General features: G+C 36.0%; 2 long non-coding RNA genes across 5 annotated transcripts in view; one reads left to right on the forward strand and one right to left on the reverse strand.

Annotated features, from left to right (window-relative positions):
- The window catches only part of LOC105374490 (uncharacterized), a 31,004-nt gene extending 17,917 nt beyond the window's left edge, over positions 1–13,087 (forward strand). The window contains exon 3 of one of the 2 annotated variants that reach the window (XR_925405.3): positions 13,006–13,087. This is a non-coding gene — a long non-coding RNA (uncharacterized LOC105374490). The remainder of the gene's footprint in view (positions 1–13,005) is intronic. The other variant, XR_925404.3, reaches the window with a different exon arrangement.
- Positions 1–16,881, reverse strand: part of LOC105374492 (uncharacterized) — a 153,067-nt gene that overhangs the window by 88,060 nt on the left and 48,126 nt on the right. Inside the window, exon 1 of one of the 3 annotated variants that reach the window (XR_001741375.1) lies at positions 4,518–5,192. The exons of the other annotated variants lie outside the window; for them this stretch is intronic. This is a non-coding gene — a long non-coding RNA (uncharacterized LOC105374492). Of the gene's footprint in view, positions 1–4,517; positions 5,193–16,881 lie in introns of those variants that run through there. 3 annotated transcript variants of the gene reach the window in all.

The following is a 16,881-nucleotide window of genomic DNA, read 5'->3' on the forward strand; positions in this document are numbered from 1 at the left end:
ATGAATGATGAATAGTTGTATGCCTTGAATGTTACTTAAATTCATTAATCCTTCTTGTTATTCAAATACAATTACAAACATTTAGCTATTTACAGTTGTTGTGAGTAAAGAATACTGTGTTATTATTAATTCATGAGTTAGTACATTGATTTGCAAAGGTGCTTTTTAAACTTTTTTTCTTAATTTCTCCACAACTCTGATTACAGATGGAATCTCAATCTTTGAGATTTAAAGTTTTTTTTCTTAATTTCTCTGCAACTCTTATTATAGGTAGAATCTCCATCTTGGCCTTTGTTTTCCTCTACCAAATTTCTAATTTGTCATTTATAAAAGTACTCTCTGTAACATGCTGTAACTTTAAGGCTTTTTTTTTTTCTATTCCTTAATCTTTTGTTCAGGACTCTGAAATTTAATGGTATAACTTCAAAAATGAGAATAAGTGGCCAAAAACGGCACACTTTACAACTATAAGACCTTGTTTTCAAATAGACAGATTATATCTTGATTGTATGTTATTGGGTTTATTTTTAAATTTTTTTAAAAAGATGAAATATCTATTACAACCTAAAGGAATAAGAAAAATATTGTGACAATGTAAATGTCAACTGTGACTGGAGATCTGGAGATTGACTGAGAGTCCCTATTTTTAATAAATTTGCATGGATGTGGTAAGACTCAAAGCACTTTTGAGCAATCATCAGAATATATAAATAAATATGAATGTAAATGACATCAAAATACCTGGGTTGGGAGGATCAGCACAGTTTAAAATCAGTTGAATTTCGTAAGCATTTATTGAGCACGTACTAAATTCACAACATCGAGTTGAACCTTGCGGGTACATACAGATGGAAATGCCACATGACTAGAGGCACTGAAGAACTCTCTTATGAACTCACTGACCTAAATCACTCAGTCCAGTTTTTTGAGCTTTATGTATCTCCATCGTTAAGCGACACATGACGGTAATATGTGGAGGCATCAGGGATTTGATGTGGACATATCTTTGGCAGACACCCTTCAACCCACTCCAGAGGTCCAAATAACCCTTCTCCTTGCTCTACTCCACTGTTTAAAAAACTTTAAGGGCTTTAACCCTGTTTAATCTGGCCAACATGTGCACCACAACCTGTCTTCTGACCTCTTCCCACATTTTCTGTCATTCACTAAACAACCACATTGACCTTTTATTTGTAGACATACATAACACATATTCATTAGCACATGTATACATATAGAGAAAAAAATAGAATAACTTACTCTCAAGGAACCTGCAGCCTAGTTCATAAGTGTGAAATCAGTCATTCAATTAAATGTAGAGTGAGATTGTGAGGCATGAGCCATTAACTCGACCTGACTGACCATTGTTAAGGAGGTCAGGAGAAATTTCAGAAAAACCATAGCATTTTAACCAAACCCTAGAGAATAAAAAACAATTAACTGAGAGATGAGGAAGGAGGGTGCATGTTTCCTACTAATAAAGAAAGAGCTGTGGAAATCCCTAACATAATGTGAATCCTAATATTCTGATGGATTCTATTCAAGGTCTTGCCCAATTCTTAATTTTCAGCAAATGTTTTACACAAAAGCCTTGACTATGACAATCTTTCAAGAAAACCAGGAGAAAGGCCGTAACTGCATGTTAACTGTGCCTCATCCAGTGGAAGCCCACTCTAGTATTGAGATGTTTATGCTTGAGAATGAATGTAACCTGATTTTATAAAATGGTCAAATAGCATCATACTATACACCCACTTTAGATATAGGTTAAGAAGTTATTAATCCACAAATAAAATGAAAGGCAAAAGAACATTCATTAAGATTCAATTGTTTAAAAGACTATAAGCAATAGTCTGCTTGTACATTATACATTATGAATAACAAAATTCTTGAGCACATACTATCTGCTTGTTACATATATTATCTCATAACATGCTTCATCCTGTGAAGAAGGTTGTGAAGAAGGTTGATACGGTTTTGTCGTGTCCCCACCCAAATCTTATCTTGAATTGTAATTCCCATAATCCCCACATGTCATGGGAGGGAACCTGTGGGAGGTAGTTTAATCAAGGGGCAGTTACCCTCATGCTGTTCTTGTGATAGTGAGTGAGTTCTCACAAGATATGATACTTTTAAGGGGCTTTTCCCTCTTTTGTTTGGCATTTCTTATTGCTGCCACCACGTGAAGAACGATGTGTTTGCTTCCCCTTCCGCCATAATTGTAAGTTTCTGGAGGCCTTGCTAGCCATGCAGAACTGTGAGTCAATTAAACCTATTTCCTTTATAAATTACCCATTATATGCCAGGTTTTCCCCTGAAATACATGTGCCATCAAGTCTTCTGTATCTTCTATACTTCTGGTGCCTGCATTCTGAGGGATGAGTGTGGTCCAAGTGGATATCAGTCAAAAACAATTAAACTGACAGACACGATAAACATTTTTGCTCAGTAAGTTTGATGAAGGCATGAAATTAGTGACTGAGATAAAGAATAATGGGGAATTATTTACGATAGTAATGAAAGATCACTTTGATGGAAAATTACATTTTAGTTGAAATCTAAACATTAGAAAGCAGCTACTCAAAGAGCTGTGTATTTATGTTCCAATAAAAGGAAATAGCATGTTCAATGTCCTAGCATGAAGAACAACCTGGCATATTTGAGAAAGTGGCCAAAATGATGGGCTTGGCCAATTAAGTTGAGATGGTATATTAGGCTGCTCTTGCATTGCTATAAATAAATACCTGAGACTGGGTAATTTATAAGAAAAGAGGTTAAATGTCTTACAGTTCTGCAGGCTGTACAGGAAGCATAGCTCTAGCATCTGCTTCTGGGAGGCCTTAGAGAGCTTACAATCATAGCAGAAGGTGAACTGGGGCAGGCATCTCACACAGTGAGAGTGGGAGAAAGTGGGAGTCAGGTGCCACACACTTTTACACAACCAGACCTCAAGTGAACTCAGAGTTAAGAGCTCACTTATCACAAGGGGTTGGCCCAAGCCATTCATGAAGACTCTGCCTACACGATCCGAACACCTTCCACCAAGCCTAACCTCCAACATTGGGAGATTTCTATCCAACATGAGGTTTGGGTGGGGACAAATATTCTAATTATGTCAAATAGGCACAACATGATAGAGAATAAAGATAGAGAAATAATGAAGGGTCAGGTCACACAGAGCATGTGACATGATGAAACCAAGCAGTTTATATAAACATGTGCTACATAAAGTTTCCAAAGTGAGGGGTTGGTGTGACCAAAGAATGTACCAGCCAAGGGCTAGAAACATGGATACTAATCTCAATGCCATCCAGGGTCCATAATGTAGGAGGCACTCAACAAATGTCAGTTATTCTTCCTTCTGCTCTACCTCTAGTTCCATACACTGTACTCCACCCCTTATTGCCTTTTAGAGTTAAGACATTATATTTTTCTATGGGCATACTTTTTGATGGACGACAGATTGCAACTGTCCTTGTCCTAAGAAATCACAATATTTCTTACAAAAAGAACCTGTCTAACATCTAAGTCTAATCAAACTCTTTCTGTTAATTTAATTAAACTAATAAACACTAAATGCCTATTATGTACAAAGGATTTTTGCTGTTTGCTGCAGAAGTTGCAAGGGGAACAATCACAGTTCTGTCTTCAAAAAACTGACAAAATAAATGCCTCCCCTACCCAAAACTTCTACTTCTAATAAGTATATAAACGTAGTGTATTCAATAAGAGTTTTTAAATGGCAACTGAATGAATGGTGTAAAATGCAATTCTGAGATGTAGTAAAATAACAAGCCCCTATCAAATATTCCAGAACAGGTCTCAATGCCTGATAGAACCAAGGTTCCTAATAGGTGTTGGATGAAGAAAGAATACACCCATTCCCCTCACCCCACCCCACCTCACATCTATCATAAGGCCATGTTAGTATAGGACAAACATGCCAGTAACTTCTGACCATTTAATTTTCAAATTATATGCCTGGGTCAATTTTATTTTTCAAAAATTCTATACAAGACTTTAGATGGAGGAATAGCTCTGGCTATTGTATGACAGCTTTATGAAGCTAATAACTATTGATGCCATTTAATTTATCAAGCAACAATTAATCAAAACATACTGACTACTAGCACAGTATATTTGATTTCTTCATTGAAACTAATACTTTTGTTTACATATGAAAAACAACAGGATTGCTAGATATTTTAAATACACAGAAAGAAAACTGGGATTTTACAATTTCCCAAGGTCTCTATAGCAGACAATTTTGCTCACATAGCTGTAATTTTGCCAACATCAACAACTATAATTTTGCCAACAACAATAACATTTTTTAAAGGCTGATTTTGGCACTGCTTGGCTTAGACAAAGTAAGTATTCTATGGCATTTACACATTGTAAAACAGACATATTTCTTAGGGACATAAAGCTGGGCTTCAAGATGTCATTTCCTATTTGTTGGTAAAGAAATCAACACTATAATTAATTAGATTTGGTAGCAGCATTAGCTGGCTCACCTGCCCCCACAAAGCTGATTCCAAGACTTTATCTCCTAGTCAAAAGCTTATTGCACAAATTGATGTTCTTGTTCATTATCCGCTTTCAGCTGAGCAGAGATAGTTGTAGAAGTCCTTAACCTTCAACCAATGTGCATTTCAGTATGCTGGCTATACTCTTTGTGGGTTGATAGAATGAAAAAATCTATGCCCTTCATTTTGAAACCCTTAAGCGATCTCAGTGCTATTTTAAATGTTTTATCTTCGCCTCTCACAACAGTCATGTGGGTTAGACAGAACAAAGAAACATTTGCCATTTCACAGATGAGAATGAAGGTCTGAGTGACCCAGTACCTTGTAACTTCAGTAATCTCTGGAGATTGCTCCAGAGGGTTTACAGAATGAATTTTGAGAGTCCCTAATTTCACACCCTTTACTCTTGGCAGTATCAATCTTTTATTCTCCCCAACTGCACAGCTTCATGCTGAGACTTGCTTTTATTCCTTCTGAGGGAGGACCTCTCTGCCATCACTTAATTATAAATCCTGCATGTGACTCCCTTTCAAAAGTCTGGCAAACTGTAGTCATTTTAAAATCCAGCAGCAGACATTAACTTAGAAACCTTCATGAGTGATGGGAAAGGAAACTATTAAAATGAGAAAATAGAGATAAAATTTAAAGTACAAAATGGTCTTTTTATCAGCTCACTCCAGAAAAAAAAAAAAAAAAAAGAACTTCTGTTGTTATAAAAAAAAAAAAAAAGAAGAGGAGATCTACTGTTGGTGCAGAAGATTATGGGAACAAGGAAATTCACAAAAAGAAAGGGTAGAATTGCTGGGATAGTTGGCTATGAATTTCACTAAATTAGAGACAGAAAATCCTCTTTCACTTTTGCAAAAGGTGATACCACTGAAATATCTTTGTAAGATGTTTACATTTTCATTTTTTTAACTTTTCCATTTGATAAAGTGTCATAAATGGTATCAAATTATTGGGAAAATAAGGAAGAAAGTAATTACCCATATTCTCCTCACCCAAAGATAGTTACTTTGACGTCCATTTTTCTTTATGTATGAAAATATACATCTTTTAACACTCTTTAAAATGGTCATGAAATATTTGTATACGTCATAATTCAGAAAGTTCAGTTAAATAATGAAATACATTATTTATCCTGTTCTACACAGATTAACTTACTTACAACAGACTCAATATTTTATCCTTGGTGAAAAGAAATGGTGTTTACTATGCAGTGGGTGGGAAAATGAGTACCAACTGGCATTCCATTAGGATGGATGTTGGGTGGTATGCCCAATGGGGCTGGGAGGAAGTTAAATAATTTGAGGTGCTTATCATGAACCAAAAATTGGGCTAAGATAAATGTTTGAGAAGATATGCTTGCATGCATAATTTTACATACTGCTGGAAAGATATCTACTGTTAACCTTCTTTAGTCCCTTTCAATCATACCTTGAATGATGCATATTATTGATAAATATCTTCTTTATGAAAATATCCCAGTTGATAAAAGTGAGGTTCCTGCTGATGCCCAATGAATTTGATTCAAGGAAGCCAGAGACACTCTTTTAGGATATGATTTTCTACTAAAACAAACCTAATAAAAAGCACACCAGTAAAGCGCCTCACCACTGATCATTGCTCTTGTGCCTGATTCTCCACCTCTGCAGTTCTATCTTCAAACAAAGCAAGGCTGTACCTGCAGGCCCTTCCTCAAAAATTTGTTTGAGTCTTTCCAAAGGCTGGGACCTTCTGGGGTAGACAGTAGCATGCCTCCCTTGAATCTAAACTCCCATGTGGGGTTTCTTCTCTCAGGAGAGCTCTCTGACCCTTTACCTTTTCCATGTGTCTGGCTAATACACGTGTAGGAGCTCCAGTACTTGCGCCTTTGAGATCGGCCTGGCCCAGAGGTGGGGGCCCTGGTTCTAGGAGGTGGCTTGTTAAAGGTTGTTCTCAGTAACAATCAAATCAATATTTTTCCCATGGAATCCCAAGTCCATCACAATAGGGCTGATGAGCTAGTCATCTCCCCCAAATATGCATAAAAATAAATCCCAAAGAATACAACAAAACATAAAAATCACACACAAAATGTCTAGAAGATTAAGTAAATTACTAATTGTCAAATCTTGGATCTAATCAGGAGTTAAGAATAAATGTAAAAAAAATTATGCTTTATACCTCTAATATGCACCATCAAAATACATTTTTAAAAAGAAATAAACAGAGAAATGTTCTAAAATGTTAAGTTCAAAAGAACTAAAGTGAATGTGTTTTGCAAGAGCTATAATGAGTAAAATTCAAAGGCAAAAAATAGCAAATAAGTGTGCAACAGCTGCATTAAAGACATAATATTCTTAATAAATAGCTCTTTAGATAAGTTGTTCAGTGGGAAAAATAAACAGGAAATACTAATGGTAAGGTTCACAGATACTTCATGAAATAGGAAATAATGGTTATAATAATATTCAGCACTGTGCAATCATTTAAAGATGTCAAGTCAAAAATCATATAAATTTGACTCTCAAGTTTAAATTATTAGAGAAATTGTGATAACTCAGTGCTGGAAAGTATGTACAGTACAGTAGTCACAGAGATGAATAGATACACATGGGGGAAAATTGTATGTCTGAAGAGATTCATACCAATATTTTTTATAAAGCAAAAACATAGAAGTAATCTAAATGTTGAAAAACATGACAAGTAAATTAGAGTATCTTTACAGGTTATATTATACAGCCATTAAAAATGATGTTTACAAATATGTGCCAAAGTTGTGTGATAATAATTTTTATGCAATGTTAGGTGATACACACAGGATCTAGCTGAAAAAGCATGCATAAAAGAGCTCAGACAGAAACGTTCCAAAATACATTTTTAAATGGATATTTTTACGTTTTGCATTCTTAAACTTGGGTGCAGCTAAGGAGGTTGTCTGAATGTAGATTTCTGGTCTAGAGGCCTAAAATCTCTGATTCGGTGAATCTGGAGAGGGGCTCAGGAACAATCTACATTTTTAAACAAGTCTCTCAGGGGCTTCAGATGCAGGTGATCTGGAGCCCACTCTTGGGAAGCTGATCTAGTTAGTAGGATTATAGACGCAAATATATATAAAAACATACATAAATATATATATGTACAACCTGCATAATCAGAAAGTCATACAATATATAAAATATATGCTGTATACATCATGTCTGTAAAATATATACATAATATATCTATATTCCTGATTATACTTGTTTTTATTTTTAATTACATTTTCGATATATGAGTAATTTTTAGGATTTGCTTCTTTTTCTTTTGATTTTCGAAAGAATTTGTAGGACACAATAGTCACTAAAAATAATTCTTTGTTTCCTCATTCTATTTTATTCCCCAAGTTTTCTTTTTAAATGAGAAAGAAAATTTTATTTTGCTTATTTCAAATCTGTGCCCTCAGTAGAAACAAAATGCAATCTGAGTGGCAGATTCTGGTTCTGCTGTCTTCGTACTAAACTGATAAGAAAATGGAATGGGACTGACATTTGTAAAGTAGCCTGAAAATTTCATTCCACAAAAACCAAGGCTGTGACTTGGAAGAATATGAATGAAGAGTGTAAAGTTAAGAGCCCTTAAGGACATAGAATGATTGCATTTCAGCTCCATGGGTAATCTACAGCATGACTCCAGGGGCATTAGCTATGAATAGAGAAAAGAGGAGCTTTGCCACGAGAAAAGCAGCAGGAAGATTGGTGGGGTGGCGGAACCTTGAACACAGACAAAAAGTACCTGCTGACCCCAATTCCACTGAGAAAGAAAAGGATCAAGATGATTTAAGGGAGGAGCAGGGCAACTCCAAGATGGGCTCAAATACCACAGTTAAACTACTTTCTTCTGTTCCACAGACCAACCATGCAGTCAGCAGACCCGCAGGGTGATACAACTGAAAGGACCTGAGATTCGCAAACCTAAATGAAATTATTTGTCTTGCTGTTTACCAGTTGTCCTAACTTGGGCAGGCAACTTACACTCTATGGGTCTTGATTTTCTCATCTGTAAAAGGATTGAGTGGAGACTGCAACCTCTTAGGTGTGGAATTGCCTAACTCAGTATTTGGTCCAATCCTATGTTCAACAAATGCTTTCTTTTCATCCTGTGAAAGATTTTATTTCTTTTCATCCTGTGAAAGGTTTTCCTTTGTTCAAGGCATGAAAACTGTGTTAAACTGCCATCACAAGTCGAGTACTCTGCTATTTATTGCAAATGGAAGTACACATACACCTATACAAACACATTTCTGTAATTGATGTGATCATTTTCCTTAAGGAAGTAACAATTATGACTATAGTGGAAGACAGAAAAATAATAGATGATAGCTAAGACATAGGTGTCCACAAGTAGCAACCATAGCACTTGCAAAGTGGAAGACATGTAATTCTGAAAGAGAAAGAATGAGATTGGAGACATGTTTCAAGAGGAAAGCTACATGTGAGCTGTGTTGTAATGTGAACAGGGACTGGAGAGAAGAAAATGTAATTCCTTCCAGGTTCATCACCTATTGACCGAATTGTTCCTATACTTCATGAACCCTGCTGTGTCTCTTACAGGGATCGTTCCATAATACTTCCAGTCCGTCTTCTGGCTGCCTTCCTAGCTGACCTGACTGTTATACTATGCAGTTCTCTCATTGCCACCCTGGATTATGCAATGACTTGGATTCATAGATGTCTTCAGTTAGCTATACAATATTAAATATGTGTTAGGTGGACCTCTGTCACATATTCTCTGGTTAGAGTGGGTTTGGCTCAGTTGTCTTTTGATATATTCACTCTCTTCTCTATGATTGGCACAGTGTGGGTTGGCAACATCTAGAATTTTCACACTGGTAGAGATATTTGTGAGGATTCTGTCTGATTTCCCAGTCATACCTGGGTTCAACACATGAAGGAAAATGAAGAAATGGTAAGATGCAGTTAGGCCCAGATTTTAATTTCATGTCTTCCATTTACATGCTGTATGACCTTGGGCAAATTCATCAGCTTCTCTTAGCACTAATGGAGATTATAAATATGTAGGATCTAGTACTGTGTCTGATACCTGAAAGGCATCTACTGAATGCTGCTATTCTCTCACACTCCCCTAGGTATTTCAGAGTTCATTATACAGCCTTTTATCGAATTGTCCTGTGTTAGGGAGACTACCCTAAGATAAGGCAGCACTTTTTAATAATCTGGTCTTTTTTTCAAAGAGGAGGGTTCATTCTTATTTAAGAAATAATCAATTTCTTTTATATAATCAAAGTTAGCCTTCGTTTATCTTCCTTTCACCTGGTTCCATGATTGTCTTCTGTACTTATAAATGTGTCTTCAATTGTCATTAGGAGTTTGGTGCAGGTCTGTGATAAAACTGTCATTAGTCATTAAAAGAATGGAAATAAAAATTATTTATTTTCTAATAAATAAAAGCATGTTCAATTAAAAAGGCTTTCTTTTATTCCAAGGTTATGTAATTGTTATCCATTCATATTAAAATGACTTATAATTTATAACATAATGCCAGATTATCAGATATATATGTGTATATATATTTTTATATATGTATATATATGTTTATATATATGCACACACATATATATGACTATATATGTAATTGCTTGGCAAAAGTTAATGCTGGCAACAATTTTCCAGTCTCCCATTTCATTTCTCATTAATGATTCACAAATTCCAAAACCCAGGAGCCACTTAAGTTAAACAGTTTAAGGATATCATACTTCTCTTTATCTGCTTTTCAAATTCAATTTGAAAAAAAAAAATGTCATTAGGTCATTTCCCCTTAGTCTTTCCTCCAGGGCAGAGATGCCCCGTATTTTCATTAGCAACTTTGGTGACATGGTTTCAAGTTCTGTACCACAGCTGCTACTCTCTTTGACTTGTATTTCTAGCTTCCCACCTTTGCTTCCTTTATGCTTTTCCTTTGCCAGACTGTGATAATCGGGGTTCCTACTAGAAGGCTGATCCTTCTCTCCTCTTGTCTCTTGTTCAAGCTGGAGGTTCATGATTTGCCCATAATATCCTTCCCTGACTCATCCTGGCCAAAGTTTTACTCAGATTATAATAATAAGAGAAATACCATTTTCCTGTTTTCTTTCTCATATTTTGATTTTACTGCTTGTCTTCAATTATTTGTCCTTGAATGTCCTTATAGATTGACATCTAAAGGGGTCAGTAAACTTTTCCTTTAAAGGGTCAGAGGTTAAATATTGTTGGCTTTGCAGGCCTAGGGTCTCTCTCAGGACTACTAAATTGTGCTGTTGTTGCATGAAAGCAGCGATGATTTATAAATGATTGGGCATGACTGCATTTGAATAAAACTTTATTTACAAAAGCAGATTGCAGCTGGATTTGGTCGAGGGTTTGCTGACATTTCTACTGGTGACACTTTTACTCTCATACCACTCAGTTCTCCTAATCCTCCCTACAGGGTAATTGGTAGGTTTTAAAATGGGGTCTTGCTCTGTTGCCCAGGCTGGAGTGTGGTGACGTGATCACAGATAACTGCAGACTTGAACTCTTGGGCTCAAAAAATCCTTCCATCTCAGCCTTCTGAGTAGCTGGGTCTACAGGTGGCACCACTGCACCAAGCTAGGATTGGTAGGTTTAGAAGAGATAAGTCTTCTCTTTTATGTAACTCTTCTTCTCTCTTACCTCCCTTTCTCTCTTTCTCTCCCTCTTTCTCTTTCTCTCTCTCTCTCTCCCCCGCCCCAACACCCATATTCTGTTCTGCTCTTTATTAGGTGAGGATACTGCTATGACAGAAACCTGTGATTTTCCAGCAGTACTTGTAATTAGGGCGAATTAACTGCCAGGTATATATTTTAGAAATATTTGTTACCCTAGTGTAACCTAGACTATTTTGATTGATGTATGGGATAGAGGATGAGGAATTACTTCATATAGTCATGTCTAAAAATGTCCTTCATCTCATCATTTTATCTGTAGAACAGCTGTTATTTGGATTTCCATGAGTCTGACTCCTGTGACATTTCAACTGGTTTCAAACCTGAGTAGATGTGTTTCCCTCCCAAAGGCAGGATAGACCTGCACTCAAAGTTTGGTTTGAATGTTGAGACTGATGATGTGACACACACCAGAAGAGTTATGAAAATGTTTATTATTTACTTTTTTGAGGTCCTGGGAAGGGCTGGGCAAGCCTCTCAAATCTTGTTATGCCTTGAGAGAAACAGAAAAGGAGACTGACTCTGGGTTTTACTGTGATTTCAGGGTGGGGCTAGGGTGAGGGTCCTTACATGTAGGCAAAAGCTTGCATGGGTTTTAATCTTTCATGGGCACCAAATAAGGTACCACCTAGGCTTTAATCTCAGCTAGCCCAGATATGAGGGACAGGGGAAAAGAGGGAGTTAGATGTAAAAGTTGTCATCAAAAAATAGTCAGACTATTATAGTTGAAAAGAGAGGTTTTATTTAATTAAGAATCATATCTCTAGTTACTTACAATGAACAATACATATATAAGGATTTTTTTTCTTAATTTCTCCGTGAACTCCTGGATAGCAAATGTCTTATCTCATCAATGTGTCTATACTGATAGTTGCAATAACTTAGTAAATGTCCTTATGCATAATTATAATTAAATGATTCCTTTATCTAAATGATGCAACCTAATTATCTAATGCATTTAGAGAAAAATGCCCATGTAGACTTGTAAGGGTTTTGTTGTTGTTATTGTTGGATTAATAGAATGCTGAGAATTCTGTGGACCTTTTTAGTGCTAATAGTCCTAATTGTATCTAAGTTTTATTGGATTTCTCTGTGATGAAGTCAAAGTTTCCTCCAAAACCAGAATTAAAGAGGGGCTATCAAAAGCACAACCACATTGCTTGAGTTATCACATTAATGCCTCAAAGTATCTAAAGGGGAAAATACCGCACATTGTACATGAATAAGAAGCAACGTCTGTGTGGAAAGAAATTCTATCTTAATATTATATTACAGAGTAATCTCTGGAAAAGTACTCGAATGAAACCTCATACCTCTCACCATGTAATGATTGTGCCCTTTCCCAATACCAAATAAGACATATACATTTTGAAGTCCAGTGTTTAGGAATAAATGACAGAGTTGCTGACACTTTTCCACATAAATATTAAAGTAGGAAAATTGACTTGCAAACCCCTTGTTCAAAATCATTTGTTTCGCAATCTTATTTATTATTATTATTATTTGTGTGTGTGTATGTGTGTATGAATGGATTATGGAATAATGTATTCTTTGGTATCCTAAGCAAGGCAAAAGAAAGCCATATATTCATTGAAAGCAAAAAGTTTGTTTCCATTACGGTAAGATTTGTAAAAATGGCTGGGAATACTCCATCCTCTTGATGAAATTGTTGAATGAAATGGTTTATTTATAGACCTGGTAGGGATTACAAGAAAGACCTTTGTGTATTATCTTCCTCTTTCACCGCTAATTGATGACATTTCTGAGTTCCAGGACCTGTGAAGAATTCTACCTTCAGACAACTGCTCAACTGGATTGAATCTGGGAGAAGAAGATGGGGGCATTATTTCTTGACAGCCACCTAGATTCCAACAGCATCATGCAACAAATGGTACTAAGACCTTCAGAACCCTTGAAGAGCTAATCAGCACTTATGCATGAAGGCAATGTTCTAAACCTTAGTGGTCAGGAAATGTTTGAGATTTGAAACAGTTGTTTGAAGTTGAGGCAGAAAGTAATAAAGAATACTAAAATTATCAAAGAAACACCAAACACAAATCAATAGCATCCAAATGAGCTTTACCTTTATAGCTGGTACTCTTTCTGTCCTCTTTTCTGCTTCCTAAGAGATGTTTTTTGGTGATTTGGTCCTCCTAAGTGCATGCACATTGGACAGGATAGTATGAGTATGATTAGAGTGTAAGCATGACTAGAAGCACAAGTTAATTTATGAGTGATTGAATAAAAGTAATTTTGTGAAAAATAAGAACAAGTTCTTTTGGTTTATATTTTGGCATGCTTTCTTTCACCATTTTAAAGAGATCTTTCCAAGATGAAATACATTGCAGAAATACATATCTGTCACCTATTTAGAAAATGACATTCATTTGAAAATGAGCCACTGTGAATTAGATACAAAGAGAGGTCAAAGTTAATAAACAGAGGCATTTATGTGAATAGAAATGTGCTAATGTTTATTATTATGGCATTAGTTCACATTAGAGATGTATTAAAAATAATATCTAGGATCATAGGCTAGAATACATCCTTAAAGGTCATTTTGGACAACCCCTTAATTTAATAAAAAAGAGAGGAACAAACTTCAGAATGAATGGCTGAGATTATTTCTCAAGATCACACAACTACTTGGTAGATACATCAAATTTTAAACACAAGACTCCTGGTTTCTAACCTAACTCTATTTCCACAAACTTAACATAATGCAGTTAAAAACTTTAACTCATATTTCAAATTTGTTGTTCTTACAAATGTGGATTGTTTTGTTTATTTTACCTCTCCACTTTTTTTCATTCCAAGCTGCTCACCTGCATCTTGGAGGGGTTAAAAATAATTATTCAATATATTATTAAGTACAAGGCAATTGGATCATGTGAACATGTCCTATATATTTTATGTTCATACTCTTAGAAAATGTGTAGCCTCTCAAAGAGTTACTCTCTCCCCATGATTTTGCATGCAGCTACCTGTCCCTGTTGGCTTTGCTTGCATTTACACTACAGTCTATTCTGCAAGAGTGCAAGAGTGTAGATGTAATTATCTGGTATTTCACCCATGCAGCCTTCTCCTTTCCTAGCTTCTGCTATGGGCACATCTCATCCTATTATAGCTTGATTCAAAGCAGAGCTGCAGGTGTGAGCTAAGTGTCCATCCTTTGCACTGCTTGACCATGCTTCATAGCTGAGTTAACCTTGATGTGATGGTGCCCTGAGTTGTTATAAATTCTTGCCTTTTCCTCCAATCTTACATAAAAAAAGCTCTGGCTATGCCTATGATGGGTTTGATAAGAGTGTCTAATTTTGGACTTCAATCTTAGCAGGCCTAATTGCCTAGAAATATAAAGATATATTTTCATTCTAGCCTTTGGTAGCAGTAAAGGCATATACCTTCCTCTCTCTGTTGAATCATTTACCTTATTTCTCAGTTTATTCATAACCCTGATAGAAAAGATGGGTGCTCTTTATTTGTGAACCCTCAATTCAAACAAAATATCAGCGGCTTTCTTAGGCATTTGATCCATATTTCCATATTCTGACAACGTATTCCTCTTCCTCTTAAAGTATAGCACTATTTCTTTTAAGCTACCTCACTTTGAAAAGGTTTGCTAATTCAATAGGAAAAATAATACTCAATGTACTTACAAGTTCTATATTACTTGTCAATATTTTATCACAATTTGAATTCTAAAGACACTTTTTGTAATATAAGGAAAATGCCAGATATGTGATACAGTAAAAAGTCATGTTAACTGTCGTATATTTAAAAGAGAGGCTCCACAAATATTGAACTGCATTATATGAAACTCATACATAGTTTTGTATTGCCTGCATTTAGATTTCTTCCTTCACATAGGCATACTTTGTAAATAATTCATAAGTCATATTCACAATCTGACAATTAAACCTGCAATAACTAAACCACAGTAATATTGGTAGTAAGTGGCTTATTGGTAACGGATTATTGTAGAAGAATTCAGGATATGTAAAATGCATATACTAAACTTCCTGATCAAAAGGGAAATCAGGGCAAAATGAGTATAAGATCATGTCTTTTGGGATTTTCCAGTCTAAAGTATAAAGACCAACAAACAGTTAGTCTCCAGGAAAATCACATTTCAGTTGCTAAACTCCACAGATAGGTTTATACCTCTTATTCATTAGTCACAATATGTTGAACATTTTCTCAGAGCAGGGCTTATAAAACCAATTCTCATAATTTGAGAATTATAGGGAAATTCTCCAATTTTAGACAGAGAGATGAAAAGAGACCAATCTATAATAACCATAAAATAAAATTCAAAAATTAATTGTTTCAAAACCGAACTCACATAAAGCACAGCCACAGAACATCAGAGACTGTTGGCTTTTACCTCCCTATTTTGTTTACCTGGTTCCAAAATAATCTGAGTAAATTTTACATCTCATATGTGAAAACATTACTCATCCATTTATAATTTCTGGCTAGTAGATCTCACATTCAGTGATAAAGAGAAGTTTGGAAATCAAGACAGGATAAGAAAAGGTATCTTGGACAGTCTGTGACAGTCTAATCGATTGCTTACAGTTGGCTGCAATCATTTCCCTTCCCATATTCCTGTCCTTTCACAAAGGGAAATCTATTTCCATACTCCTAAATCCCAAGTCAATCTTGCCACTTGCTTTGGCAAGAGAATGCAATATGCCAGCTTTGAATCTTGCTTCTAGGAATGTGCACTACTTTCTTTCCTCTTTCTCTTTGATGCATGTCACTACCATGTGAGAAATTTGAGTCTAGTGAGCTAAAGAATGCAAGGTCAGTGGAGCAGAGATAAGTCATCCCCCACCAGCAATGCTCTAGCAAAACTGGTAACTATTCACAGTTACATAAGTGAATCCAACAGAGGTGAGATGGACCACCCAGTCATGCCCAGTCCAAATTGCCAATGTGAAGAATCATAAGCCCAATAAGTGGTTATTTTGTTCAACTGTAACTTTTGAGGGAGTTTGTTATGTAGCAAAAACTAACATACACTCGGTCTTTTTCATCACTAATTTTGTAAAAAGTTACTGTTTGCCATGGATCATTGATCACCTTTCTGATTCATGAGGCTCTATCTCAGTCCTCATTTGCATTGCTGTAAAGGAATACCTGAGGCTGGGTAATTTATAAAGAAAAGAGGTTTATTTTGTTCACAATTCTGCAGAATGTATGAGAAACATGGAGACAGCATCTGCTTCTAGCGAGGGCCTCAGGAAGCTTTCACTTATGGTGGAAGGGGAAGGAAATAAGACATCACATGGCAAGAGCAAGGAAGAAGAGAGTGAGGAGGGAGGTGCCAGACTCTCTTTAACAGCCAGTTCTTTCAGGAGCTAAGATGACAAATCACCCTACCCGGTGAGGGCCCCAAGCTATTCATGAGGCACCTGCCCTCACAGTGCAAACACCTTCCATTAGGCCCTACTGCAACATTGAGAATCGACTTTCAAAATGAGATTTGGAGAGGACAAACATCCAAACTCTATCAGGCTCTATCCAGCTAAAACCTAAAAAGAGGGGCATTGCCCTTCTAAGATGTCAGTAGCAGCTTAGGCTGAAATCCTATGTTAGTGCTACTAAAAATACAAAATATTCTCCTCTCTGGTCACAAGCATA

This window comes from Homo sapiens, chromosome 4 (genome assembly GCF_000001405.40).
Source record: "Homo sapiens chromosome 4, GRCh38.p14 Primary Assembly".
Classification (NCBI taxonomy): domain Eukaryota; kingdom Metazoa; phylum Chordata; class Mammalia; order Primates; family Hominidae; genus Homo; species Homo sapiens.